This window comes from Homo sapiens, chromosome 6, assembly GCF_000001405.40.
Source record: "Homo sapiens chromosome 6, GRCh38.p14 Primary Assembly".
NCBI lineage: Eukaryota > Metazoa > Chordata > Mammalia > Primates > Hominidae > Homo > Homo sapiens.
The window spans coordinates 73,149,713-73,176,781 of NC_000006.12; the positions used below are offsets into that span (position 1 = coordinate 73,149,713).

The 27,069-nt window shown below is 40.1% G+C and overlaps 1 protein-coding gene and 1 pseudogene across 7 annotated transcripts in view; one reads left to right on the top strand and one right to left on the bottom strand.

Annotated features, from left to right (window-relative positions):
• KCNQ5 (potassium voltage-gated channel subfamily Q member 5) overlaps positions 1-27,069 on the top strand; it is a 576,790-nt gene that overhangs the window by 527,649 nt on the left and 22,072 nt on the right. For 6 of the 7 annotated variants that reach the window (NM_001160133.2, NM_019842.4, NM_001160132.2 and 3 more), the window contains one exon: positions 20,034-20,142. The exons of the other annotated variant lie outside the window; for it this stretch is intronic. In NM_001160133.2, coding sequence (NP_001153605.1) covers positions 20,034-20,142 — 109 coding nt within the window. Of the gene's footprint in view, positions 1-20,033; positions 20,143-27,069 lie in introns of those variants that run through there. 7 annotated transcript variants of the gene reach the window in all.
• Positions 7,608-8,513, bottom strand: RBPMS2P1 (RBPMS2 pseudogene 1; annotated as a pseudogene).

Genomic DNA, 27,069 nt, shown 5'->3' on the forward strand with positions numbered 1-27,069 from the left:
TTTGAACCTGGCAGGCGGAGGCTGCAGTGAGCCGAGATTGGGCCGCTGTACTCCAGCATGGGCGACAGTGGGAGACTCCGAAAAAAAAAAAAAAAGAGAGAGAGAGAGAGAGAGGGAGGGAGGAAGGAAGGAAGGAAGGAAGGCAAGCTGATAGAATGGATCTCATTGAATTAAAAACCTTTGCTCTGCAAATGAGACTAAGGGGATGAAAAAACAAGCTGCAAACTGAGAGAAAATATGTACAAATGACATATCTGATTAGAATATATAAAGAACCCTCAAAACACCACAGGGGAAAAAAAAAAAAACACCAGTTGAATAAGAAAATAGGCAGAAAACGTGAAGAACATTTCACCAAAGAGCATATAAACATGGCAAACAAGTGCAAGAAAAGATGTTTAATATCATTAGCCCCATGGGGAAAGTCCAGTTAAAACTACAGGAGATATCACTACACACCTGCCAGAATGGCTGAAACAAAAAAAACTAGGGATGACACAAAATGCTGGGGGAGATGCAAAGAAGCCGGATCACTTACACATTGCTGGTGGGAAAACAGTTTAGTAGTTTCTTAAAACTATTCAGTTAGTTACTATCTGACCAAGTAATTTTATTCTCGGGTATTTAGCCCAGAGAAATTGTTATGTTCCCATAAATCCTATATATGCATGGTCGTAGTAGCTTTCTTTGTAATGACCCAAAACTGGAAACAACCCAGAGTAATATTAATATATATAATATATATTTTATTATATATTACATATATTATTATATTACATATAATATATTAATATATTGCATATATTATATATGTACTATATATATTTAAAATACAGCTGAATAATATTCCGTAGCATGTATGTGCCACAATTTGTTTAACCTTTTGTCTATTGAAAAGTTTAACCAATAGGCAAAAGGTTAAACATATCGTGGCACATACATGCTATGGAATACTACTCAGCAGTAAAGATGAGTGAAGTATTGATACACACAACAATGCAGCTGAATCTTGTGAGAATTATGTTAAGTGAAAATATACCAATCCCAAAAGATCACATATCATTAATTATTAAGTATTACTGTATACATTAATGTAGTGTGGGAAGTGTATATATATATATGTGTGTGTGTGTGTGTGTATATCCATTTATGTAACATTCTTGAAATTATAGAAATGCATATCATATTAGTGGTTGCCAGTAATCATGGTGGGAGCTGGGAGGGAGGAGGTGTGGCTCTAAAAGGACAACATGAGGACTCCTTGTGGTGACGGAAATGTCTATATCTTGACTGGATCAGTGTTAATATTCTGGCAGTGATATTGCACTATACTTTTGCAAGATGTTACCATTGTAGGAAACTGAATAGAGGGTACACAGAATCTCTGTATTATGTCTTACAAATTACATGTGAATCTACAATTACCTCAAAATTGAAAGTTCAATTTAAAATAATAAAAGTCAAATGATATAAGCCCTTTGTTACAGAATATAATGATTTTCTTCCTCAACTCTCCCACTCTATCCCTAGACCACCTTTCCAGGAGCAGCCATTTTCTATTTATTTTAGTTATTCCTCTTGATATTTACATATCTCCATATTTTTCCAATAATATGAGTGTACTGCTAACTTCTGATTAATTCATTTTGAATACTGTTTACTTTCTATTCTGGTAAATGAAGATTTCACTCTTTTTTCACTCTTCCTTCTGCAGACCCTCCCAACCTTTCAATGTAAGTCACTATAGTTTTTTGAGAAGTCAAAATTCAGCATCTACATTATGTATACATATTACACTGCACTATGGTTGTTTCTTACCTTTTGCTTTTCCTGTAGTAAATAAATACCTTGTTCATTGTTGCTGTTTTCATAATTCTTCCCACATCTTCAATAATCTCTCAGTAATATTTTCCACAAGGTAAATTGCGTCAGGTAACCAATCAGTCCCATTGTGACTTTTCTTTGAGAACACATTCTGGAAACCTCCATTCTCCTTTTACCTGAGCTGGCTGCTCTCTAAGCCTACTGCACAGCCATTATCTTTTGAATTCCCTTTTATTTTCTTCTAGATTGGATTCTCAGCTTTCAGGATCTTGTGTTTTTGTCTTTCTTGATTCACTCCATTATTTCAGACAGTAAAAATCCAATTTTTTTTACATAAAAAGATGACATGATGACAGAAGGCATGATGATGACAGCTGTCAATGTGTCTGTCCCTCAATTCACACTAGTCCTATCTGGACCAATTTCCCTCTCCACCTGACACACTGCTTTCACACGGGAATTTTCCTTCCCTGTCACCCTGCTGACTCCTGTTGCGTCTCTCTGTGTCACCCTGTTCTGTGGCTGTGTCTCCCACTCTCTTCGTTTACTTTGCCATTTTGATGAAGTACATCCTATCATACATTCCTGAGAAGAGTGTCTGGAAGGCAAAATTTTTAAGAGCTTGTATGTCTGGAAATAGTTCGTATCCATTCTAGAATATCTTATTGGGTTTTTTTTTTCTCCCTTCATTTTCTCTGAAAGAAGAGAGAAAATATGAAGATATTTCTCATAATAAAGATATGAAAATCTGTTATTTGAAAGTTGGACTTGCATACTGGCCCCGATTTTCTTATCCTTCCTCTTTCATTTTCTACCTCTTTGTCTTTTTGTCCTACTTTCTAGGAGTTTTAGCTAATATTATCATCCAAACCTCTTACTAAGATTTTCATTTCTGCTATCATTTCTAAGGTCCTTTGTTTTTGTTGTTTTTGACTAAGGGTTCTTTTATTTTAGTATCCTATTTTTGTTGCATGGATAGAGTATTTTGCCTTATATCTGTGAAGATATTAATGACAATGTTTTGAAATTTTCATTTCCTTAGTTTCTGTTACCTTCTAGTTGCTTTTGAGCTCCATTTTTGTACTGGAAGATTTCCTTAGATACATAGTAAATTGAATGTTTTCTCATAATAAAATGTTGGAGACTAGAAGGGTGACTGGAGTTTCTGAGTGTATTAGAGCTGATTAACTTTGATCTTCACCATAGGTTGACCTGAGTCAACCACTTTTGGGGGAATTCCTGGCAACAGTATCTTTAGCTCTTTTTTCTTGCACTGATCAGATTCCCCAGAGAGTAGCTACTCAAACTCCTAGAGGGAAAAGGTCTTACTACCATTATTACGATAACGAGCAGGTTGTGGTGGATCCTCAACATTCAATCTGTGTATGATCACTTAATACCCCAGCTTTTGGTTTAATACCTGTCCTTTGACTGTGTTGGATGTATCTTTGGATGAAGGGGTGAACTCTCATCTAAAGATTTCTATCTTCTGCTGGAATAGGAGAGGACCATATGCCCAGGAGTCTGGGAGAGATTGCACGCAACCTTCCTTATCTTAGTTATCCCCTCTTTATGCTTGGATCAAGAAGTACCTAACGTTGCCAATTCCTGAGCCTTTTGAGTTTTCCAAAGTGTAAATCTTGTTGTTCTTAGCTTTTCTCAGTGTTGGCATAGGGTTTTCTCTCTGGTGTCAGCTAGTCAGTTACCTAACTTGTCCATCTGCTTTCCCACTTCCAAAATTATGTTGTTGTCATCTCCTTTCCTTTTCTCTTCTTTTATGGGTTTATGTCTTTTTTTAAAGTATTTCATCACTATAGTTTTAGTGGGTTTTTCAAAATGAGCAAGATTAGCTGTATATGTTCAATCTACCATCTTAACCCAGAAAGGAACTTCTGTCTTAATTATATGTGTATGTGTGCATCTTTGTATGTGTGTGTGCTGAATCACAGCATAAACTATAATCCTTATTGTGGATGAAAGCCAAAAAAGTCAGTTAGTCCAGGCCAACAAAAAGTAATCAAGTTCAGTCAAAGGCTAGTCATATTTTCTCTTTGCTATGAAAGCCTCCCATAGAGCTGAGAGAGTTTTGAAGACATATGAGGACATTTTTTCAGAATGTGGTATTCATAGGAAGCTCTAAGTCTATCTCTTTAGAAAAAAAAAAGGTAAGCTACACTTCCTCTAATACTGCATTTGAATGTGTCCTTCATTTCTGTTTTGAGTACTAAGATTATTTATTCTAGGTCCCAAATTTTTATGTCAAGAATGTCATAATACTAAATAAGTAAAATAAAAAATAATAAAAATAACAAGTAATCCCAGTGCTAAGTTATGCAATCTGTATCAATCTGTAATCTTCAATTCCACTAAAAAAAAAAAAGTTTGCTCTCCAAATTGCATCTACTTTGGCAAAAATGCATGGAAAATGCAATTACCTGTTCAAAATATTAAAATTAGCTCTTTAGAATATTGCTTTAAAAGCTCAAAAGGATATTTAACTTTGAAACCAATATGTGCTGCAGATATGGATACCTAGAGGCTTTTTTTTCAATAAAAACTAATTTTCAGAATTTTTTTCAAATATTGTATCATTTCTACAGCCTAAAAAAAATGTAGTGAGAGTGTGTTCACAGATGCATCAAAATTGTTATTATAGCATTATCTTTTATTTCTATGGGAACTCAGTGAGATGATTTTTCTAACTCTTAATTTTAAAAAACTCACTTGTAAGCTATTACTCCAAATCTCCTAAGATTCAGAATTGAGTAAACAATGGTCACATGATTGAGATTTTACAATTTGTTGCTACAGTACCAGCAATATAAAGTATTGGGATAAATGTCAGTTTGGAAAAGGTGATAGGTGTGAAATATCCAAAAGTGACATGTGAAGTAATGCTATCTTGCTGTAAAGTATTTAGATTTCCATTAGTGTTACATTGTTCCTGAAGAGAAAAACTAAGTCTGGATTGCCTTCTTTTTTATATTAATATGGATGATACAGTGAGAGAGAGAGAGAGATCCCTCTTCCTTTTGTACCAATGTGAACATTCTTCTATTATTTACTAATTATAAATATATAGATCCAAGAATTTAAAGTGGGCTTACAGATTGCATTTCCACCTAAAAATAAACACGCAGCATACTATATTTATTCAACAAATATTTCCCAAGTTCTACTATAAAAGTTACTCATTCTTTTACTTTAAACTTCTTTTGCCTCTTAAATATTTTCATGGGCTAATAGGGGAAGATTCTATTTAAAATGTTTATAAAAAGTAAACATTATGTGGAAATTTTGGGTTTTTTTCACAGTAGGATTTTGAAGTATACCTAGTCACGAATGATCACAAAAACAAAACAAAAAAATTAACCATAGTACAACAGAAAATAATAAGGCCAAAATCCCATGAATGACAAGGCACGGTCCTGCCCTCATGGAGCTCACTGTCTAACAAGGAAAGGGGCTTGTAAACAATGAAATATAATACAGTGTAATAACTGAGAAGACATAGGCATACATAGTAAAGGAAGGACTGCATCAGTCTTCCTTCAGAGGTGGTAGACTCTTGAAAGGCTTGTCATTCCAGAGCTAAGCCTGAGGCTCTAAACTCCATCACGCCACCCTGCACACTTCATCCTCTGTGCTTAGGACCTCTCAAAATAAAAGAAATTGCTAGACTACAAAATAAAGTTATGGTTTTCAAAGTGCCACAAAAGTTACATGTAGGCTGAAATTAAAATGGTGTGTTCTAATTATTCTGATGTTCTCCACATTGTGAGTGTCCCTTGCTATTGTTAGTGCCCCATGCATATTATAATCTGCCCACCACAAATTCAGCACCTAGAAATTACCAGCCAAACAAATAAGAAAAGCAACGAGGATGGATGAGGGTGTGTAGACGATACCCCTTGGGAGAATGTCCAATGATGATGATGCTTGAACAGCACCTAGGAAAGCAGTTGGAATTTGGTGTGGCTGGAGAATGGGATGGAAAGGCCATTATAAGATGAGGCTGAATGGGAGCTTCTGGGCCATCAGAACCAACTTCCTTCCCAAGGCAACCAGAGATGTTTAAGTTTCCATCTATGCTGAGAAATCGACTTTGACATTAAACATCAATTGATGTACAGGAAGAGATTGGAAGGGAATATACCAAAACTTGATAGGATTTGTCTTAGAGTGTTAAAACCACAGGTGAATTTTTTTTCTTTCTTTGTGATTTAATTTAAAATTCAAATTTTCAAGGTTTCTACAATGCACATGTATTACTATTATAATGAGAGAAAAGCAAAGTGAAAATAAAAACTATTTGAAAGGAAAAACATCTAGAGTAAAAAATACATTATCCAGAGTATTTTTCTGGGTTCCTTATTCATGCCTTGAGGACCTAGTTTGTCTCTTGGTTACTTAGCAGCATCTAACATGGAACAGGAAGAAAAGTCCCTAGCCAAGGACTTAGTGAAATGAAATTGTGCTACTGCATCAGGGCCCAAGCAGTTACTCTAAACTCTAGTTGGATTAAAGGAATTGTCTTTGGACTAGCACATGTCTAAAATGGTAACTCTAAATCTAGGATGATATTTAAGGTTTTGAGAAATGATAGCAGAGGGTGGCAGGGGGTGAGTAATTTAAATACAACCAGCAGCAGAAAGAAGGAACCCTTGGAAAGTAAATTATAATTCATTACGGGATGTAATAAATTAGTTATCACCACCATTAATAGTAGCCATTTTAATATGTGTTCCCCATAGCATAATGAAATAGAATCATCACATACTTTATTTAAATTCCTAAAATAAAAATGAATTGTGAGGTTGGGCGCAGTGACTCATGCCTGTAATCCCAGCACTGTGGGAGGCTAAGGCACGCAGATCACCTGAGGTCAGGAGATCGAGATCAGTCTGGCCAACATGGTGAAACCCCATCTCTACTAAAAATAGCCAGGCGTGGTGGTGCGCACCTGTAGTCCCAGCTACTCTGGAGGCTGAGGCAGGAGAATAGCTTGAACCCGGGAGGCAGAGGTTGGCGTGAGCCGAGATCACACCATTGCACTCCAGCTGGGCAACAGAATGAGACTCCATTCAAAAAAAACGAAAACAAAAACAAAAATGAATTATGAACTTCTAGCCCTCACACTTTCACTGTAAGTAACATATCACAATAATGGTTGCCTTTTTTATGCGATGCATAAATATTTTGTTACAGAGTACAAAAATACTTTTCACGTTTTGGTTGATTCAAGGTTTGGAAAGAATGAGGAGCAGCGGCAGGCAGAGTGACTGTGGAGAGGTGAACAGTACGGCAGAGAGGGCATTCCTATGACTGTTGGCGCATCCGAGGAGATAGGAGCAGAGAAGCCCAATTTGAAAGGAAAAGGCAAATGCCATCTATCTGTTGGGTGGAGGCAGGCGCTGAGTCTGGAAGCGTGTGGGGCCACGGGGCTGGGGGCTCGGGCCTCCCTGAAGCGTGGTGGGTGCAGGGGCGAGGCGAGCAGAGAGAGGCCAGGCAGGATGAACCACCGGGGGCCAGGACCTGTTGCTATGGTGACAGCGTGAAAACAAACTGTACACTCACATATACACAAGCGTAAGCGTCTTCATTCGTGCCAGGAAACATGCAAAATTAAACGCCTCGTTTCCTCGAGCGGGAGCTACCGAAGCAAAGTTGGGTGGGAGGTCAGGCCTTGCAGGGTCCAAGTGATCCTCCGAGCTGGATCTGAGCGCCTCAGCGAGAAGGTCCCCAAATCCTCCTGGGAGGCGTTGGAGAAAGGCTTGAGTGTGCAGAAAAGGGCTGAGGAAGAGGAGGAAGGGGAAACAGGAAGGAGTCCACTGTGTCAGGCTTAGGATTCACAATTTCTGGGGGGCAGCGGCAGCTCTGCACAGGCCGCCCGGGGGCGGGGGCGGTGGGAGCTCAGGGCGCCTGTCCCGGCACCACCACAGATTCCCAGAACCAACTCCCCGGTGACCAGACTGAAGAACTAACAGAACTGACGATACTTCCATCCTTGCTGGGTGGTGTCAGAGGAAGGGAACCAGCGCACCTGGCATGGAGGGCGGCGGCAACGGTAGTGGCAGCTGGGTAGGTGAACGCAGCATGGGTGATGGCTGGGGTCAGCTCTGTGGTGTACAAAGGATAAGGGCCCAGGCCTCTGGGCATGCAGGCATCAGAGCAGCCCCCATCAGGTCATAGGGGTCCCGAGCGATGAAGTAAGTGTGCTCCTAGGTGGGGTGCATGTTGGTGGGATTTGGAGTTGCCATTAGCTTGCTCTTGGCCATCTTGGTGTTGGCTTTGGCAAACTCTAGCCTCATGATCTGTGGGTTTTCGGGATCTAAGCGAATATCGTTCAGCGCATTTTTGGCCGCTTCTGCTCCTGCCCCGCTGTCAAAGATCACAAAACAGGCTGTCTCGCGGTGAGCTTGAGTAGGGACTCTTCATACCCCTTGAACGGCCGGAAGATCAAGTAGGGTTCTCTGGGTTTAATGTCCATGGGGAGGCCGCTGATAGTGTCCGGACCTCCTCTTCCAGGACGCCGCCGGAACCCGCGCTGGAGCCAGTACAGGTGCTGCCGCCGCGCTCGCCCTCCCGCTACAGGTTGCTCCTGGTGCGGGGGAGGGGGCGGGGCGGCGGGAAGGGAACGTCCGGGCGAGCACGGCGGCGGCGCCGGCCCCAGCGTTGTGTGGGCATGGTTGCCTTTAAGTCCTGGAATTTTGGAAGATTTTTTTTTTTTTTTTTTTTTTTTTTTTTGTGGAGACGGAGTCTCCCTCTGTCGCCAGGCTGGGGTGCAATGGCGCGATCTCGGCTCACGCAACCTCCGCCTCCCGGGTTCGAACGATTCTCCTGCCTCGGCCTCCCGAGTAGCTGGGACTACAGGCGCCCACCACCACGCCTGGCTAATTTTTGTCTTTTTAGTAGAGACGGGGTTTCACCACGTTGGCCAGGCTGGTCTCGAACTCCTGACCTCAGGGATCCGCGCGCCTCAGCCTCCCAAAGTGCTAAGATTACAGACATGAGCCACCGCACCCGTCCTGGAAGATTTTTTTTCTTCATTCTGTTTTCCTATTTTTCAAATACTTCATATCAAAAAGTATACATTATTTTTGTGATGGAAAAATTCTTAAATTCCTTAGGAAACTTTAAATGAAGTATAAATAATTTATAATCTCATGCACTAGTACAGCTAATTTTATTTTTACATATTCTCTTCTAGCTACTTTTCTTTTCACATACTATTGTACATAGTTATAATCAACATAAGTAGTTTCATATTTTAATTTCATTGCACATTTTTAAATATTTTCATGTTATTACATACTATTCATAATTGCCTTTTTCAGAGCTGTGTAGTACACCTGCATGATCAAATGCTATAATTTACTATAATTTGCAGTTTTCTACTTTAGGGCATTGAAACTTATATAACTATTTTTCTATAGTAGGTGATAAACATTATTGCATTAAGCTACATTTCTATTCTTTTTGAACTTATTTTACAAAGGAAACTTACCTTGTATAAAATTGTAAGATTGCTGATTATATAGCAAAGACATAGACTCAATCTAAGTGCCCATCAGTGACAGATTTGATAAAGAAAATGTGTTACATACACACCATGGATACTATGCAGTCATAAAACAGAATGAGATCATGTCCTTTGCAGGAACACAAATGGAGCTGGAGGCCATTATCCTCACCAAACTAACACAGGAACAAAAAACCAAATACCACATGTTCTCACTTTTAAGTGGGAGCTAAATGAGGAGAACACATGGACACAAAGAGGGGAAAAACACACACTGAGGCCTACTTGAGGGTGGATGGTGGGAGGAGAGAGAGGATCAGAAAAAGTAACTGTTGGATAGTTCCTGGGTGATTAAATAATCTGTACAACAAACCTGAGTTTACCGATATAATAAACCTTCTCATGTACCCCTGAACTTAAAAGTTTAAAAATCAAAAATAAAAATAAAAAGATTGCTGATTATACATTAAGTATTTTATTGTCATAAAAATTAATCCAATTTATATTGTCACCAGCAATGTCAAAGTGTACCAAATTCATGTCAATTTTTATTAGTTATTATTCTTTTGCAAATTAAATCGGTACAAGTTCATGCTTTTAATTTACAATTTTAAAATTTCTAGTAAGGCTGAATAATTTTCAGTCATTTTTTGCTAGTCTTTCCTGACTGACTTATTTGTACATATATATTTTGAATTGTGATTCATTCAGATAAGTTCCTTATACATTGTGGATATTAAGCCTTTTTTATATTTTGGAATTCTTCCCTAATGAAGAATTTTTGGCATTGTAATTTAGTTATTGTGGGTAGCACCATGTTCTGTCTTCATGATCAAAGCTGCCAGCTCTCTCCTTTATAATTTCTTCTATTGCCCCAAATGTGAGGACGTTATTATTCCTCCACAGACAAAACAAGTGTTTCCGCTATGGTTTTTTTTGTTTGTTTGTTTGTTTGTTTGTTTGTTTGTTTTTTGAGACAGAGTCTCGCTCTGTCGCCCAGGCTGGAGTGCACTGGCGCGATCTCGGCTCACTGCAAGCTCCGCCTCCCGGGTTCACGCCATTCTCCTGCCTCAGCCTCCCAAGTAGCTGGGACTACAGGCACCCACCACGACGCCCGGCTGTTTTTTTTTTGTATTTTTAGTAGAGACGGGGTTTCACCGTGTTAGCCAGGATGGTCTCGATCTCCTGACGTCGTGATCCACCCGCCTCGGGCCCCCAAAGTGCTGGGATTACAGGCGTGAGCCACCGCGCCCGGCCTTCCGCTATGTTTTTGACAATTGGGTTTTATTTTTGTCTGTGACTGTGTAAGCTGCTTGTGTTTAAAAGCAGTAGTGATTTCTTTAAAAGAGAAAGAGGGCCAAAGCCTGAGAAGAGGGGGTTTTTTGATGGCTGCGAGTAGAAGACAATGACTGGAATTCAGCAGGCTGAGGCCTTCAAGCTCAATTAAAGATGACTAGAATGTTGTGATAGGACAAAACCTTGTTCCTGTATCACCAATTTATCAAAGGATTTTTAAATTGTTTTTCTGTTTTTTATGATGTAGTCATTTACTGCTGTCTTGTGAGGCACGTATGTTGTCTCAAATTGCTCCTCTGCAAAATATATCAGCAGCACCAAGGAACACAGGATGGCGGATTAGCCAAACACTGCTCAGCTCTGGCTGAGGGAGACCAGGAGATGTCATTTTTCTACCTACAACCAGTGGTCTTTGCCCTTGGCTATACATCGCATTCTTCCAGAGAGCTGGGAACTCCAACGCCTGGGTCCTAGCCTTTGGTTTCTAATGTTATTGGTCTTGAGAGCATCCTCATTATTGGGATTTTTTTTTTAACACTCCCCAAATGATTTTAATGTGCAGCCAAGGTTGAAACCCACTGTAATCATTTCATCAAGAAATGCAAAGAAGATATCCAAAAGAAAAGAAGTCAATATATTGAAGAGATATCTGTACTCCCATGTTTATTGCAACACTATTCACAATATCCAAAATATGGACTTAACCTAAGTGCCCGTCAGTGAATGAATAAAGAAAATGTGGTATAGATACACAATGAAATATTATTCATCCATTAAAAAGAATGAAATCCTGTCATTTGCAGCAACATGGATAGGACTGGAGGCCATTATGTTAAGTGAAATGGGCCAGGCACAGAAAGAAATAGATCATATGTGCTCATTCATATGTGGGACCGAAAAAAGTGGATCTCATGAAGACAGAGCTTAGACTGGTGGTTTCCAGAGGCTGGGAAGAGAAGTTGGAAATTGGAAGAATGGGAATGAAGAGAGGTTAATTAATGGCTACAGTCTGATAGAAGAAATCAGTCCTAGCGTTTGATAGGTCAGTAGGGTGACTATAGTTTACAGTAATCTGTTGTATATTTCAAATAGCTCAAATAGCTAGAAAAGAATAATTCAAATGTTTCTAGCATAAAGAAAAGACAGATATTTAAGATGATGGATAGCCCAAGTACACTGACTTGATCTTTACAAGTTTTATGAATGTAATAAATTATCACATGTACTCCAAAAAAATGTACATCTATGTATCAATGAAAAATAGAATTATTTTTAAAAAGAAATGCAGAAAGAATCTAATCCGTAAAAGAAGGTGACTAAGAAAAAGAACTAGAAACTACCTGTCCTTCTTCCATAAATACCTTCAATTTGATGGTAAAATTTCATAGTGGAAATAGAAATATGGTTTTTGGACACAGCAGAAGTTTCCAAAATGGTCTTCTTTACCATCCTCTCTCTTCATCATCTCAAGTCCAAGTGGCCCTTTCCAAACAGTATAGAAAGTAGCAATTAGCAGTTTTTCAAAATTCAAAATTTGGCTTAGATCTTTTTATTTTATTTTTATTTATTTATTTATTTAGAGATGGAGTTTCACTCTTGTCACCCAGACTAGAGTGCAATGGTGCGATCTTGGCTCACTGCAACCTCCTTCTCCCACGTTCAAGCAATTCTCCTGCCTCAGCCTCCCAAGTAGCTGGGATCACAGGTGCCTACCACCATGCCCAGCTAATTTTTTTTTTTTTTTGTATTTTTAGTAGAGGTGGGTTTTCACCATGTTGGCCAGGCTAGTCTCGAACTCCTGATCTCAGGTGATCCACCTGCCTCAGCCTCTGAAAGTGCTGGGATTACAGGCGTGAGCTGCCGCACCCAGCCAGCTTAGCTCTTTTTAAATGTCAGGGAACAGAGTACTTGAAAGCCAATCCTTAACACTGCTAATCAATAGGAAACAGGAAAGGCTTGGGGAAGATAAACAGTTGTATTTTATATTTATTTTTCTCCCTAATGCCAAGCATGGACCATTCATGGGGCTAGATCTGCCAGGGAGGATCCCAAGAGGATCCCTCACAGAGAGCAGGACTTTGGGGAGGACCTTATTCCATTGGCATTTTGCCCTTTTCTGAGTAGGTTTTGACTAGGTGCTCACATGAGTTCACGGTCCCATAACCTACATCTCCCAAAATACCAGGACAGAGAGGCAAATGTGTAGTTGGAGAACAGAGGGCCAGCCTCAGCTGGAAATATAGCCCCTCCTAAGTACCTTAGCATTCAGAGGGGTTTAAGCCCCTAGGAGTAATAAGAAAGACATTTAATGTGTTACTAACTTCACTGGAAATAAAATTGACAACTCAAGATATAGCAGGTCCACAAATAAAATTGTTTCCTTCATCATCGTTTTGTTAGATGGATGAGGAAAAAAAAATTGGTTCTTGGCTGGACCACTGTCTGTGTGGAGTTGGCACATCCTCCTCAGGCCTGCATGGATTTTCTGCAGGTTCTCTGGTTTCCTCCCATATCCCAAAGCTGTGCACTGAAGTTCATTGACGTGTCTAAATGATCCTCATCTGAGTGAGTGTGGGGGTGTGTGTGAGCATGCTCTGCTCTGAGATGTGCCCTGTCCATGGCTGTTAGCTGCCTTGTGCCCTCTGCTGCCAGGATGGGCTCCAGCCACCCTCAACCCTGGACTGAAATAAGTGGGTTGGAAAATAAATGAATGAATGAATGAATACAAATTATTGTAAAATCAAAATGTGTCAGACCAGACTCAGTGGCTCACACCTGTAATTCCACAATTTGGGAGGCCTAAGTGGGAGGATCATTTGAGATCAGGAGTTCAAGACCAGCCTGGGCAACATAACAAGACCTCTCCATCTCTGCAAAGAATTAAAAAATAAAAACTAGCCAGACATGGTGACCTGTGCCTGTAGTCCTAGCTACTAGGGATGCTAAGGAGGAAGGATAACTTGAGCCCAGGAGTGAAGTTGCAGTTACCTATGATCACACCACTGCACTCTAGCCTAGGCAGCAGAGGGAGACGCTGTCTCAAGAAATATATAATAATCAATAACCATACATCTGGTAGTAAAATGAGTTTGGTTAAAAATAACTAAATAGGCCAGGCATGGTGGCTCACACCTGTAATCCTAACACTTTGGGAGGTCGAGGCCGGTGGATCACCTGAGGTCAGGAGTTCAAGGCCAGCCTGGCCAACATGGCGAAACCCCGTCTCTACTAAAAATACAAAAAATTAGCTGGGCATGGTGGCAGGCACCCGTAATCCCAGCTACTTGGGAAGCTGAGGCAGAAGAATCGCTTGAACCCGGGGGGCGGAGGTTGCAGTGAGCCAAGATCGCGCCACTTCACTCCAGCCTGGGCTAAAGAGCAAGACTCTGTCTCAAAAATAAAATAAATAAATAAGTAAATAAAAAATAGCATACAATAATCATACAAATACACAACAATTGATGCAGTAGGAAAGCACTCAGCAAGCCCACCAATATTTGCTCGTTTTTTTAACTGTATAGTGGTAGGAGGTGCCCCTTCTAATTTTCGCTATGCAATCATTTATTCTTTGATTTAACCTCCCGCCATTATGACCACTGTCACTCACTGATTAACCAAAAATTAGGTAAATAATTATCTTACTTGTTTTTATTAATCTTTCTTAAATGTATATGTAGCTCACATTTGTTTCAGTGTTTAATATTGTGTTTTGTGTCTTTATGTAGAAATTTGGTGACGTTTTTGTGACCAGAAATATGCCATAGGACTTTAACTCTTCTTTAGATCAAATAGCTATGGTAAAATCATTTTCATTATATGTGATTTCACTTAAAGTCACAATTTCCAAGAACCTACCGAAGACATTAAGTGAGGACTTGGTGTACTTATGAAGCAGAAAGACAGCATCTTGCTCATTTTTGTAGCTTTGAAGCAAGAAAAAAAAATTCCCTAATTCACTCCTGCCTCAACACATGCCAGCAAAGATATATTTCCTATTCATTTGCTCTAACTACACCTACCCAAAAAAAAGCAGAATTGAGTGTTTAATTTATGGCTTAAACAATCAAGTTATAAAGTGCTGTATAAAACTGCACAATCAGATGCATTTGAGTATAATGTAATTGATGACCGACTCTCATCCTCTGTCCAGCCCTGTTCCTAAACAGGATGAGTCTCTTATTGGGGTACAGGATGTTGATGGGGAGTGCAACATTAGGCTGGGAGGTAATGTCTTGTAATCATCTGGGATGTTCGCAGGTTCATTTATGTGTGAACAATATAGTTTCACTATCTTTACTTTTGTGCTTATTGTGACAGTAAACATCTGCTGAAAGAAAGTTTTCCATTAACCTCAAAATTAAAGGACTCTATATTTTATGCTATTTCATTATTTGGACCTGCATTATCATATTATGGCTGGTTATACAGTGTTTTCAAATACAGAAATTATTAATATAGGCTTGCAGGATCTGTCTTGTAACCACTCCAGTGTTCCCCAACTTTCTGAGATATGAGAAGAGACTAAGATAGAAGTACCTCTCATTCAGTTTCAGATGAGGGAAAGCAGTCATATGCCTCTGTTTTGAAGGACAGCATAAAACACTCTTGTGAATTCTGTACTGGGAATCTTTTTTTTTTTTAAGAGAGTGGGTCTCACTCTGTTGCCCAGGCTGGAGTGAAGCAGTACAATCATAGCTAACTGTACCGTTGAACTCCTGGGCTGAAGCTATTCTCCCTCTTCAGCCTCCTGAGTAGCTTGAATGACTACAGGCATACACACTACCATGCCTGGCTTTTTTTATTTTTATTAATATTATTATTTGTAGAGACAGGGTTGCCCAGGCTCATATCAAACTCCTGGCCTTAAGCAATCCTCCTGCCCCAGCCTCCCAAAGTGCAGGATTAAAGGAATGAACCACCATGCCCAGCTGTACTGGGACTCCTGATAAAGTTTGTTATTCAATATTTCCTTTGGGGAGCTAACATCTGGGCATCTCCCAGGGCTCTATAATGATGGCTGGTGGCTTCAGTTTTGTCAGCCACCCAGCCTGTATATGAGTCCTCTATTCCACCTGACCTTTCCACATCCCTTACACAACCCCCTTGAATTTCCAGGGTCTGTATATTTCCAAGGCTCCTTTGGGTGTGGCCTGGCCCAGCACATGGCCATGGTGACCACATTGCTCAAAATCAAATCTCCTCTGGATTTGATATGGGGTCCACACCGTGCCAAGTGCACCAGCCCTGTGAAGAAAAATGTAATGCAGGAGATGGGAACCCAGATACCAATAAGAGATACAAGAAGGGCAGCCCCATGTGGTGGTTCACGCCTGTAATCCCAGCACTTTGGGAGGCTGAGGTGGGCAGATCACCTGAGGTCAGGAGTTCGAGACCAGCCTGGCCAACATGGTGAAACCCCGTCTCTACTAAATATTTAAAAATTAGCCGTGTGTGGTGGTGGGCACCTATAATCCCAGCTACTCGGGAGGCTGGGGCAGGAGAATTGCTTGAACCCGGGAGGCGGAGGTTGCAGTGAGCCGAGATTGTGCTACTACACTTGAGCCTGGGTGACTCCGTCTCAAAAAAAAGAAAAAAAAAGAGAGAGAAATACAAGAAGGGCAAATCTGGAAGTGGTCAGAGGTGAGGCTCAGGGTCAGACAGCTCCAGAACCCAACTGCTGGGGTTAAAGTTCTCATTCTGTCATTTATTCTCCAGGTGTCGCTCGGCAAGTTTCTTAGCCTTCTGTTCCTCACTTTCATAATCTATAAAACAAGAGGTAATGGTAAAACACACTCAGGCCGGGCGTGGTGGCTCACGCCTGTAATCCCAGCACTTTGGGAGGCCAAGGCAGGTAGATCACGAGGTCAGGAGATCGAGACCATCCTGGCTAACATGGTGAAACCCCGACACTACTAAAAAAAATACAAAAAAAGTAGCTGGGCATGGTGGCGGGCACCTGTAGTCCCAGCTACTTGGGAGGCTGAGGCAGGAGAATGGCGTGAACCTGGGAGGCAGAGCTTGCAGTGAGCCGAGATCATGCCACTGCACTTGAGCCTGGGTGACAGAGTGAGACTCTGTCTCAAAATAAAAAAAAAAAACCGCTTCATGGGGTTTTGATACAATTAATTAAAGTTCTTGGCACATAATTAGATTTCTCTAAAAAAAAAAAAAACTCTTATTACTATCATCATCATTATTGTCCTGGAGTAAAGAATTGGAAGCCATCAGGGAAAGTTTTCCCAGCTGTATTCATTTCTTGGGCTGCCATCCCAAATTACCACAAATCAGGTGGCTTGAAAGCACAGAAGTGTATTATCTCACAGTACGGGAGTCCAGAAGTCTGAAATCATGGGCTCATTATGGTTGCTTCCTTCTGGAAGCTCTGTGGGAGAAACCATCCCCTGCCTCTCTCCTAACGATTGGTGGGGGCCAACAATCCCTGGTGTTCCTTAGCTTGTAGATGCATTACTCCAGTCTCTGCTTCCATCTTCTCTGTGTCCCTATGTCTTTGCCTTTTCTGTTTCATAAAGACATTTTTGCTGCATTTAGGGTCCCCGCCTAATCCAGTGTGATCTCATTTTGAACCTTACATAATTACATCTGCAAGACCTTTATTCCAACTAAGGTCATATTCCGATGTTCCACGTGGACATAAATCTTGGGGTGACTCTATTCATCCTACTACAGCAACTAAGAGCAGGTTACAATAAAATCAGAGAAACCATGAACAATTCCTGGAAAGAATGTCATCAAACCATGGGCACGATGTTTATGGGCTAAAAAGACTGTGTTGTGTGGGTGGTCAATCCAGCAAACTGGCTACCCTGAAGGTCATCACTGAGTCAGAACCAACTGTCAAACACAGAGTTAATCAATGTACTCTCATTCCAACTGGGGCAAATTTCTCTGGAGAAAACATGTATCTGACAGGAGCAGGCTGTACACATCAGGCAACACACACGTGTAGTGAGCTCTTTGCCCTGTCTCTCCTGACATATTGTAGTCACAATTTAACCCCAAACTCGTTCTGATACTGCGTAATGCAATGCAAAGGGCATGGGCTTTGGAGCCTCAGGGAACTGGATTCTAATGTCAGCCTCTGCAACTTACTAGCTCCGCTTGCCACCTTCATGGCCTCAGATGAGGTACTTACCCTCTCCAAGCCTTAATTTCTGCATCTGAAAATTGGTCATAATACCACTAACAACTTGTAAAGTTGCTCTGAGTATGAAAATTAATATATGCAGAAGCTGCACCTAAGTACCTGGTGTAAATTTCAATGAGCAGTTGCTATTTGTCTTAGTCTATTTGCACTACTATAAAAAACGCCTGAGACTGGATAACCAGTAAAGACTAGAAATTTATTTCTCACGGTTCTGAAGGTTGGAAGTTCAAGATGGCACCTTGCTACTGAGTCTCCCAGAAGAGACAAATGCTATGTCCTCACATGGTAGAAAGACCAGAGGGTAGGAGGGCCTACCTAGTTCACTCCAGCCCTTCTATAAGGTCGCTAATCCCATTCATGAGGGCTCCACCCTCATAAATGAATCACCTTCTAAAGTTCCCACATCTTAATACTATCACACTGGTGATTAAGTTTCAACATATGAATACAGGAAGACAAATTTCAAAAAATAACACTATTATTATCATTATTGTGAGGTAGTAGTTTCATCTCTCTCCTACTAGGCTTAAAGGCAAGAAAGCCAAAGGGACCTCGAAGAAGAGCTGTGAAGATCCATGTGTCTACATGTATCTCATCATCTCTTCCCGCACCACCGCCTGCATTACAGCACAAAAGTAAACTGCATAAACACACAGTAAATATTCATTGATGTAAATGACACACAAACTGCATTACAAATATAAGCACTGCCTCAATGAATGAACCTCCAATAGCCTTTCAAAATTTGGAGCCCAACCAGGACAGCCCATGGCAAAGTCTTTTCCTTTCATGACTTAGCAAATGAACACTGCACAGAGCAAAGGCAACACAAAGTAGTATTAGTCCTCTAGTGTATGTCAACATTTAGAGAGGCTTGGACCATATAAAAATGGTATTTGGAGGCCAGGAGCAATGGCTCACCCCTGTAATCCCAGCACTTAGGGAGGCCAAGGCAGACGGGTCACTTGAGGCCAGTAGTTTGAGACCAGCCTGGCCAACATGGTGAAACCCCGTCTCTACTAAAAATACAAAAATTGGCTGAGTGTGGTGGTGCGGTCCTGTAATCCCAGCTACTTGCGGGGCTGAGGCATGAGAATTGCTTGAACCCAATAGGGGTGGTGGTTACAGGGTTACAGTGAGCCAGATCGCACCACTGCACTCCAGCCTGAGCGACAAAACAAGACTTTTTCTCAAAAAAAAAAAGGTATTTGGAGGCCACATAACTCCTCTTTCATGAGAGCATTTTTATTACTTTACTTTGTATTGCCAAAGTAATACATGTTCATTGGAGAAATGTTAGAAAATACAGGCAAGCAAAAACAATAAAATCATTCTTAATTTCAGATATGCAGAGAGTTTTTTTCTTTAACAATATACTGTGACACTTTCCCAGTCATTAGTCTTCAACATCATTTTTTAAAGTTGTCTAATATTCCATTATATAAACCTACCAATATTCATTTGACCTATCCTCCATCACAGGAATTTTAACTTCATTCTAATATTTTGTTACTGAAAACAGAAATGCAATGAAATGAGCTTATTCCTTATTTGCTTTACAAATTCATAATAATTTGGCATTTATTATAACCCTGCTGCCTTCCCCAAACATTTGCAATTAACCCAAAAGTAAATTTCCTTGGTTTACGAAAAACTGATTTTTTATCCAGTCTGAAAATCGCCCTCAGCTTTGGCTGTATGATCTGAAGCAAGCTCTTTCCTGGCTGCCTGTATCCAGTAACTAATAAGTAGTCAGCATTCTTGGCTCCGGCTACTTAGCTTACTTGTTCAGGACATAAGGCTAATGGGGTCAGTGTCATGGGATATGAGCTTGATATATACAGGCCAGTTAGTTACAAGTCCAAAAACTATTTCTGTAACTCCAGACAGCTGTCACTTAAAAGCTGGCTGTTAGTTTCCAAGGAACTGGGCAAAAGAGCATAGGTGGATCAACACAAATCCATCACCAGTACTGGAAAGATAATGTGTCGATAGCTTCATCTTGCCCGTAGAAAACAGTTCAGAAAAGTATTCATATTTAAAACTGGGGAGGCTGTAGAAAAAGAAGAAAGAATAATATTGGCAAGACAATTGGCTGACCTTATACATATCTTGGTTTATCAGCTTACTCTGTGAGTATCCCGCCATTTCCACGTGAGAAAAATTCAGCAACATGTTTCAAATTGCGGATGGTGGTGTTATTTAACTGGCAATATTCTCTTGCAGCTGACACAGCCCTTGGCACTGATGATGTATATGATGAAAAAGGATGCCAGTGTGATGTATCAGTGGAAGACCTCACCCCACCACTTAAAACTGTCATTCGAGCTATCAGGTTGGTGAAAATCTTGAACAACGTGATTCAGAGACATACTTATGATTAATTGAATTACTATGTTGCTAAGTTCTTTTTCTGCAGGTAAATATCCTGGAATAACCACTTTCCCTTTCCTATTCATCCATATGCCTATTGAATTGTGAAATATTTGTTTCTTAATACAAAATTCTGCTGTGTTCAACACAAAGAGTTATAAAACGTGGGTGGGATTTGAAAAGCCAGGTCATATTAGAGAGATTACACGAGTCTTGGCTTGTCGTGTGTATTTGCTACTTTAAGGACATTTAGTTTATTGATGCAATTGGATTTTTTAATTATTTTTATGACTTGCTCCAATCTGTATTCTGTACAGAATTGTATATCAAAGAAAAGGCCTTGTAGGTTATTTCAAAATGGGTTGAGTTCTGAAAATGGGAAACCTAAAGTATTTTGCAGTGACTTAGTCTTATTATCTGAAATGTAATTGTTAAAGGCTGATCTTAATTTGCTTCCTCTACTGATGGCAGAGAGCTAAGAGAGTATACCTAGCAACTTAAATTTACCTTTTCCATGACCTTTCCCACCACACACACACACACACACACACACACACACACACACACACGCAATCAAGATCTGGACTAGATGAATTGCTGCATGCTCAGCTGGCCCAGTTTAACCCTTTTGGGAGAATTTGTATTTGTCAAGGAATGCTGAGTAACTATATTGCAAAAAAAAAAAAAAGAAAAGAAAAGAAAAGAAATACCTCTGCCTGTTGGTGAAAAACTAGAAGAAAGTTAAAAATATCCAAACCAGGCCAGGTGCAGTGCCTCATGCCTGTAATCCCAGCACTTTCGGAGGCTGAGGGGGGCAGATCACTTGAGGTCAGGAGTTCAAGATAAGCCTGGCCAACTTGACGAAACCCTGTCTCTACTAAAAATACAAAAATTAGCTGGGTGTGGTGGCGGGCACCTGTAATCCCAGATACTTGGGAGGCTGAGGCAGGAGACTCTCTTGAGCCCGGGAGATGGAGGTTGCAGTGAGCTGAAATCATGCCACTGCACTCCAGCCTGGGCAACAGAATGAGATTCTGCCTCCAAAAAATAAAATAAAATAAAATAAAATATCCAAACCAATTTAGCTATTCACATGTTTGGTCTAATCTTGAATGTTAGCATGATTGATTACTTACTTCTGTTTTTAGTTGGTCATTTGGCATCATGTTAGACATTGATTTGCCCTATAGCTGAGAGTCACTGGGAAAGCAGAAATGAGTTCTAAAGATTTTCATAAATGTTTGTGGGGGCAAAGAAAATCATGGTGTGATGAAACTCCAGAAGATGTTTAAACACTATCTGTAGCAGCAGCCTAAAAAAAAACAAAAGTTCAGTTACTTCTCAATGGAACCCTCAAGTCACAAACCCTATGGGTGGAGAGATTATACCTTCCTATCTGGCCTGGACAGTCCAGATTATGCCTCTAGTCTCATCATAAGTGTTAATAATGCTCCCATCTTTCTCAAAGTATCCCAGTTTGGACAATCAATTATATGGTCACCCTATCTCTAGTGAACCTAGAAGTCTTGGGTGATGTATAAGCCCAGATAACCCAGAATATGTAGTGAAATGATGTCTGAAGCCTTCAGTTAAAGGGATAGAGGATTTAGAACTGCACTGTCCAATATGATAACCACTGGCTACTTGAGGCTACTGAGGCTATTTAAATTTGAATTAATTAAAATGAAATACATTTTAAAATTTAGTGGATCAGTCGCACCATTCATATTTCAACTGTTCGATAGCCACAGGTGGCCAGTGGCTACTTCATTAGACAAAGAAACGAAAGATTTCCCATGTCACAGAAAATTTTATTGAACATTACTGGTCTAGAAGTCACCTTGAAATTTTTCACATGTTGAGTATATCCATAAAAGACCCTAAAGTAAAGGTGGGACAATTCAGTCCACGAATTAATCTGACTTGCAACAAGTATGGAAAATCTTATCTAGTGAGAGCAGATTAGGCTTCCTAAAAGTCATACTTAACCCAGTTTATGTCATTTCCCAAGACCTTCTGAAGCTTTCTGCTTTTGCTTTACAACCTATAAAAAGGATTGTGAGCTGCAAGAAAGAAAATGAAATAGGTTTATTCTGCTAGCTAAGCACTTCAGCAACAGCTTAAGATTTACTTTGTTATTCTTCTTGAAACTTGACTGATTTTTGTGAAGTCTTTGCAGAATTCCCTTGCTTTTCAGAATTCTTTCTTGGTTCTTATTTTTAATGGAACTTTACTATTTACATGTCTATCTTTTTGTGGATTCTTGACATTTTCTGCTTGCTGCATTGTGGTACCTGAGGGGGATGTTTTTCTCCTCCATATCCTGATTCTGCCTAGTGGTTTTTCATCACTTCTAAATTCCATTTCAAATTAACAGATTGTGTCGCTTGAACCCAGGAGGCAGATGCTGCGGTGAGCCAAGATTGTGCCACTGCACTTCACCCTGGGCAACAGAACAAGACTCTGTCTCAAAAATAAAAATAAAAATAAAGAGAATACAATTAAATTAACAGATTCTGTAAAAACCTAATAGATACACTCAATAGCTTAATAACCTAATTGAAAATATTTTACTCATGGTGTACTTAATTTCTAAAGATACATAATTTAAAAACCAACTAATACAATTAGCAGCTCTAAAAAGAAGTTTGCAGGTATAAGTCCTAAATCTTATGCAGAAGGGTTCTTTTCCTAAGGTGTTTAATTATGTTCGTAAGTTCAACATCAGTTGCCGGAGGGTTTTTGCCAGAACATGCCCACCTCTTGCAGCTCCCCTGAAGCAGTATGTATATGTATATTACAGATTGCAGGTGTGAAACATCTATTATTCATCTCAAAATAGTAACTTTGGGCATTTTTCTTGTTATTTTTTAATTGTTAGAATATTTAATACGAATATTTAAATATGCCTTTTGTATTTCAGTAACTCTTGCAATAGTAGTTTTTCCTAGCAGCCAAATTAAAATGTGTAACAAAAAATATGTATTCTACTGCAAGGATGACAGTATGGAAAATAATATTACTACCTTCACAAAGAGCAAAGTAAGAGTTCTTATTTTCAGTTATCAATATTTTTTAAACATCTGCCATTTTCTAGAGATGACTAAGGACACTCTCTGAATTTGTCTGGATTCTATTATCCAAATGCACTCTGACACTTTTTAAAAAATAAATAATGTCACTGTTCATGGTACATAGTAAAGAATTACTATTCTTAGACTATTTCCAAAATATGTCTTTTACTCAGAAGAAAACTTAGTTTTGTATATTTCTTCCAGAATTATCATAGATTTTTCTCAAAATATTATTTCAGGGAAATGCAAAAATGTGCTGGAAATGTGTTTTCAAACTCACCTTTAGGAGTGAAGATTGTACTTATTTTTAACAAAAGCCCCATATTTTAGTGATTCAGTTCAAACAATGTTAAGTTTCTTTTTATCCACTCATAGAAATTAGTTCCTAAATGGAAAGATAAAATTAGCAGGAAAGTAAACAAACAAATGGATAGACTCTAGAGGATTCTACACACTCACATATACCTATTTCGTAGTAGATCACCCATTTTTCTATCACTGTCTTAAAAATATAGCCCATAAATTACCTAGATATGTTCCTTCAAAATGTCAAGTATCTGGCTAATTGGGACTATCTGAAGGTAACAGACTATTACTTTTCATGCTAGTACTTGGCTTTGTAGTCATTACATATATATACATGAATCTTGGGCAAAGTTTTACACAAAAATTAATATATGCTGTTTAAATTTAAAATAACAGGGCAGGCATGGTGGCTTATACCTGTAAACCCAGCAGTTTGGGAGGCTGAGTTGGGCAGATCACTTTAGCTCAGGAATTCAAGACCAGCCTGGGCAACATGGTGAAACCCTGTCTCTAAAGGGAAAAAAAAAAAAGAATGACACTAAAATAACAAATATTTGAAAGTCATATACAACTGCATATTTATGGAAGAGCCCCAGAATAATAACTTTTTTAAATATAACAGAAATTGTATTTATGTACTGAACAGGCAGGTAATTTATCAGATATGCACACCAATGCAACGTATAAGTACTGTGTAAAGGATTCACCATTTGGGGAAAGAGCTTTGTTAAAACAGTGCAATGCAAAGCTTACCTGCTTCTTACCGGTATTGTTTTCAATGAATTACTACATCTAGGATCAAGGCTACTCTTTTTTTTTTTTTTCAATTTTTAAAACTATTTCAACAGATATAAAATTATCCTGTCAAATTGCTATTAAAAGTTTCTAAGCACTAATCTCTTCATGGATTGGTACCCAAGAGTTGGTGAAGCAGCTCTGGTCCTCAGATCACACTTTTAAGGCCACTCTTAATAAGATCCTCAGTGACAGTTGTTTTCCTGTCCGTTTGTTTTATACAACCATGTTTTATGTCAGTTGTCAAGAACTGAATCAAAATACTGTGAAACCTGTTCTTTTTGTGAATATCAACAAAACCACTGATGCAGATTATTCATTATTCTGAAGAGAAATGACCAAGACGCTATCGATTGTGCCTTGCTCTTACCGTCTCTTACTATCTCCGTGCAATAATGGTCATGCCTGCTATGTTTCACTTTATGAAACCTTTTCTTTCCCAGGCCAGACTAGCCTTTTAGAGAATCAAATGAATACATGAATAAGGTCCAGGGTGAAAACTCAAAGAAGTCTTTAGTTGAAGCTGACAAACGACTTTACACTGGTACCATTGGCTAATTCTATCCCCTCCTCCCACCCTCCCTGAAGCTGCTAGGGAGAGGTAGTCCAAGAAACAGGACAGCCTCTGTACATCCTTGAGCAACTCATATTCCCTCTTCAAGCCTCTGTTTCCTCACTGGCAAACTGGGGATGGTAATGGTATTGACCTCATAGGGTTGTAGTAAGGAATGAATAAATGAATAAACATTTGCAAAGCACTTAGAACGGTATACACGGTCAGCACTATGTAAATGCTAATATTATTACCCTTGAGTTGTCTGGACTCCTTATGCCTTCCAGCATGCTGCCTCCACTGCCCGTCCTCTGCTCTGGGTCAGTCTTTTCCTTTCTGAGCTCCACCCGCTTCCATGATGAGTCACATGAGAAGAGCACTTTGTTCTGTCTTTGAATCAGGGTGCTCCCATCTTCCAAAACATACACAGCCTCACCTGCTTGCATCTCCTTCACCTGGAAGCACTTGCCATTTTCCCCTTGAAGTTACCTTCCCACTACCTGGACTGAGAAATTACTCAGAGTTGGAAGAGCAGTTTTTTTTTTTTGAAACAGAGTTTCACTCTTGTTGCCCAGGCTGGAGTGCAACGGCGCGATCTTGGCTCACTGCAACCTCCACCTCCCAGGTTCAAGCGATTCTCCTGCCTCCGCCTCCTGAGTAGCTGGGATTACAGACATGCACGACCATGACTGGCTAATTTTGTATTTTTAGTAGAGACAGGTTTTCTCCATGTTGGTCAGGCTGGTCTCGAACTCTCGACCTCAGGTGATCTGCCCCCCCCTTGGCTTCCCTAAGTGCTGGGATTACAGACATGAGTCACTGCGCCTGGTCTAGAAGAGCAATTTTTTCAACCATGAAGAGCAATCATGAGCCAATGTTCCAAGTAAATCTCACCTCTTTTCTCCTCAGGGTGAGCTTGCTGCCTTCCCAGGCACCCTCTGAAGAAGCAACAGGATAATGAAAGGGAGAAGTTAGCTCTTCCCTCTCCCTCCCTGACCCTTGTCGAAGCCTGACTATAGACTCTTTAAAACTCTTCCCAGCGTTCAGTGCATGCATTTGAAAAATAGGTCTTGAGCTTCAACTGTGCACCAGGCACAGAGATAAACGTTAACAAAAAAGATGGATCCCTGCTTAGAGTTGTGAGGAACTACCAGAAAAGTAGAGTCAATTACAATGCAGAGCAGCATATTACTACAGTGACAGGACGGTTTGGGCCAACCTATATCGGCACTTTTGGGGAAGGTGGCATTTGGGAAGACTCTAAAAGAAAGAAAAGAAGAAATCTGGTAGATATGTAGGAACTAGCCAGGTTACTAAGGAGGATATAGAGGCTGGGCAGAGAGAACTGCAATTGCAAAGAAGCAGAAGTGAAGGTGGCATTAGAAAGCACGGGTGATGGTTGAAGGTGGAGGACAAGGATGAGGAGAGTAAGGCTGAAGAGAAGAGCAGGAACCATAAGAATGAGCAGGAATGTGGGGGATTCTAAGTACAGAAATGAATTTATCAGATCAGTGCATGATATGGTTTGGATCTGTGTCCTTGCCCAAATCTCATGTCAAACTGTAATCCCCAATGTCAGAGGAGGAGCCTGGTGGGAGGTGATTGGATCATGGGGGCGGATTTCCCCCTTGCTGTTCTCATAATAGCAAGTGAGTTCTCATGAGATTGGTGGTTTAAAAGTGTGTAGCACCTCCCTCCCGCTTCTCTCTTTCTTCCTGCTGCTCCGGCCACATAAGAAGCCTGCTTCCCTTTTGCCGTCCGCCATGATTTTAAGTTCCCTGATGCCTCCCCAGTCGTGCTTCCTGCACAGCCTGCAGAACCATGAGCCAATGAAACCTCTTTTATTTATAAATTTTTCAGTCTCGGGTATTTCTTTACAGCAGTGCAAGAATGGACTAACGCAGTGCTTCATTTGAAAACTTGGAAAGATGACTCTGATTGCAATGTAAGGAATGTATTGGGAAGAGAGAACTATTATTACAATACCTGGATCTGCTGGGGCCTGAGCTGGGCAGTCATGATGGAGAATAGTCAAGGATGGATTTCAGATAGGATTTGGATATTTACTGATTGGAGAGGATGGAGGGAAAGAACAGGAGGAATCAAGGATGGCATATCTGGAGGATGGTGAGACAGGCTGGCTTGAGGGGAGATGGTGCAT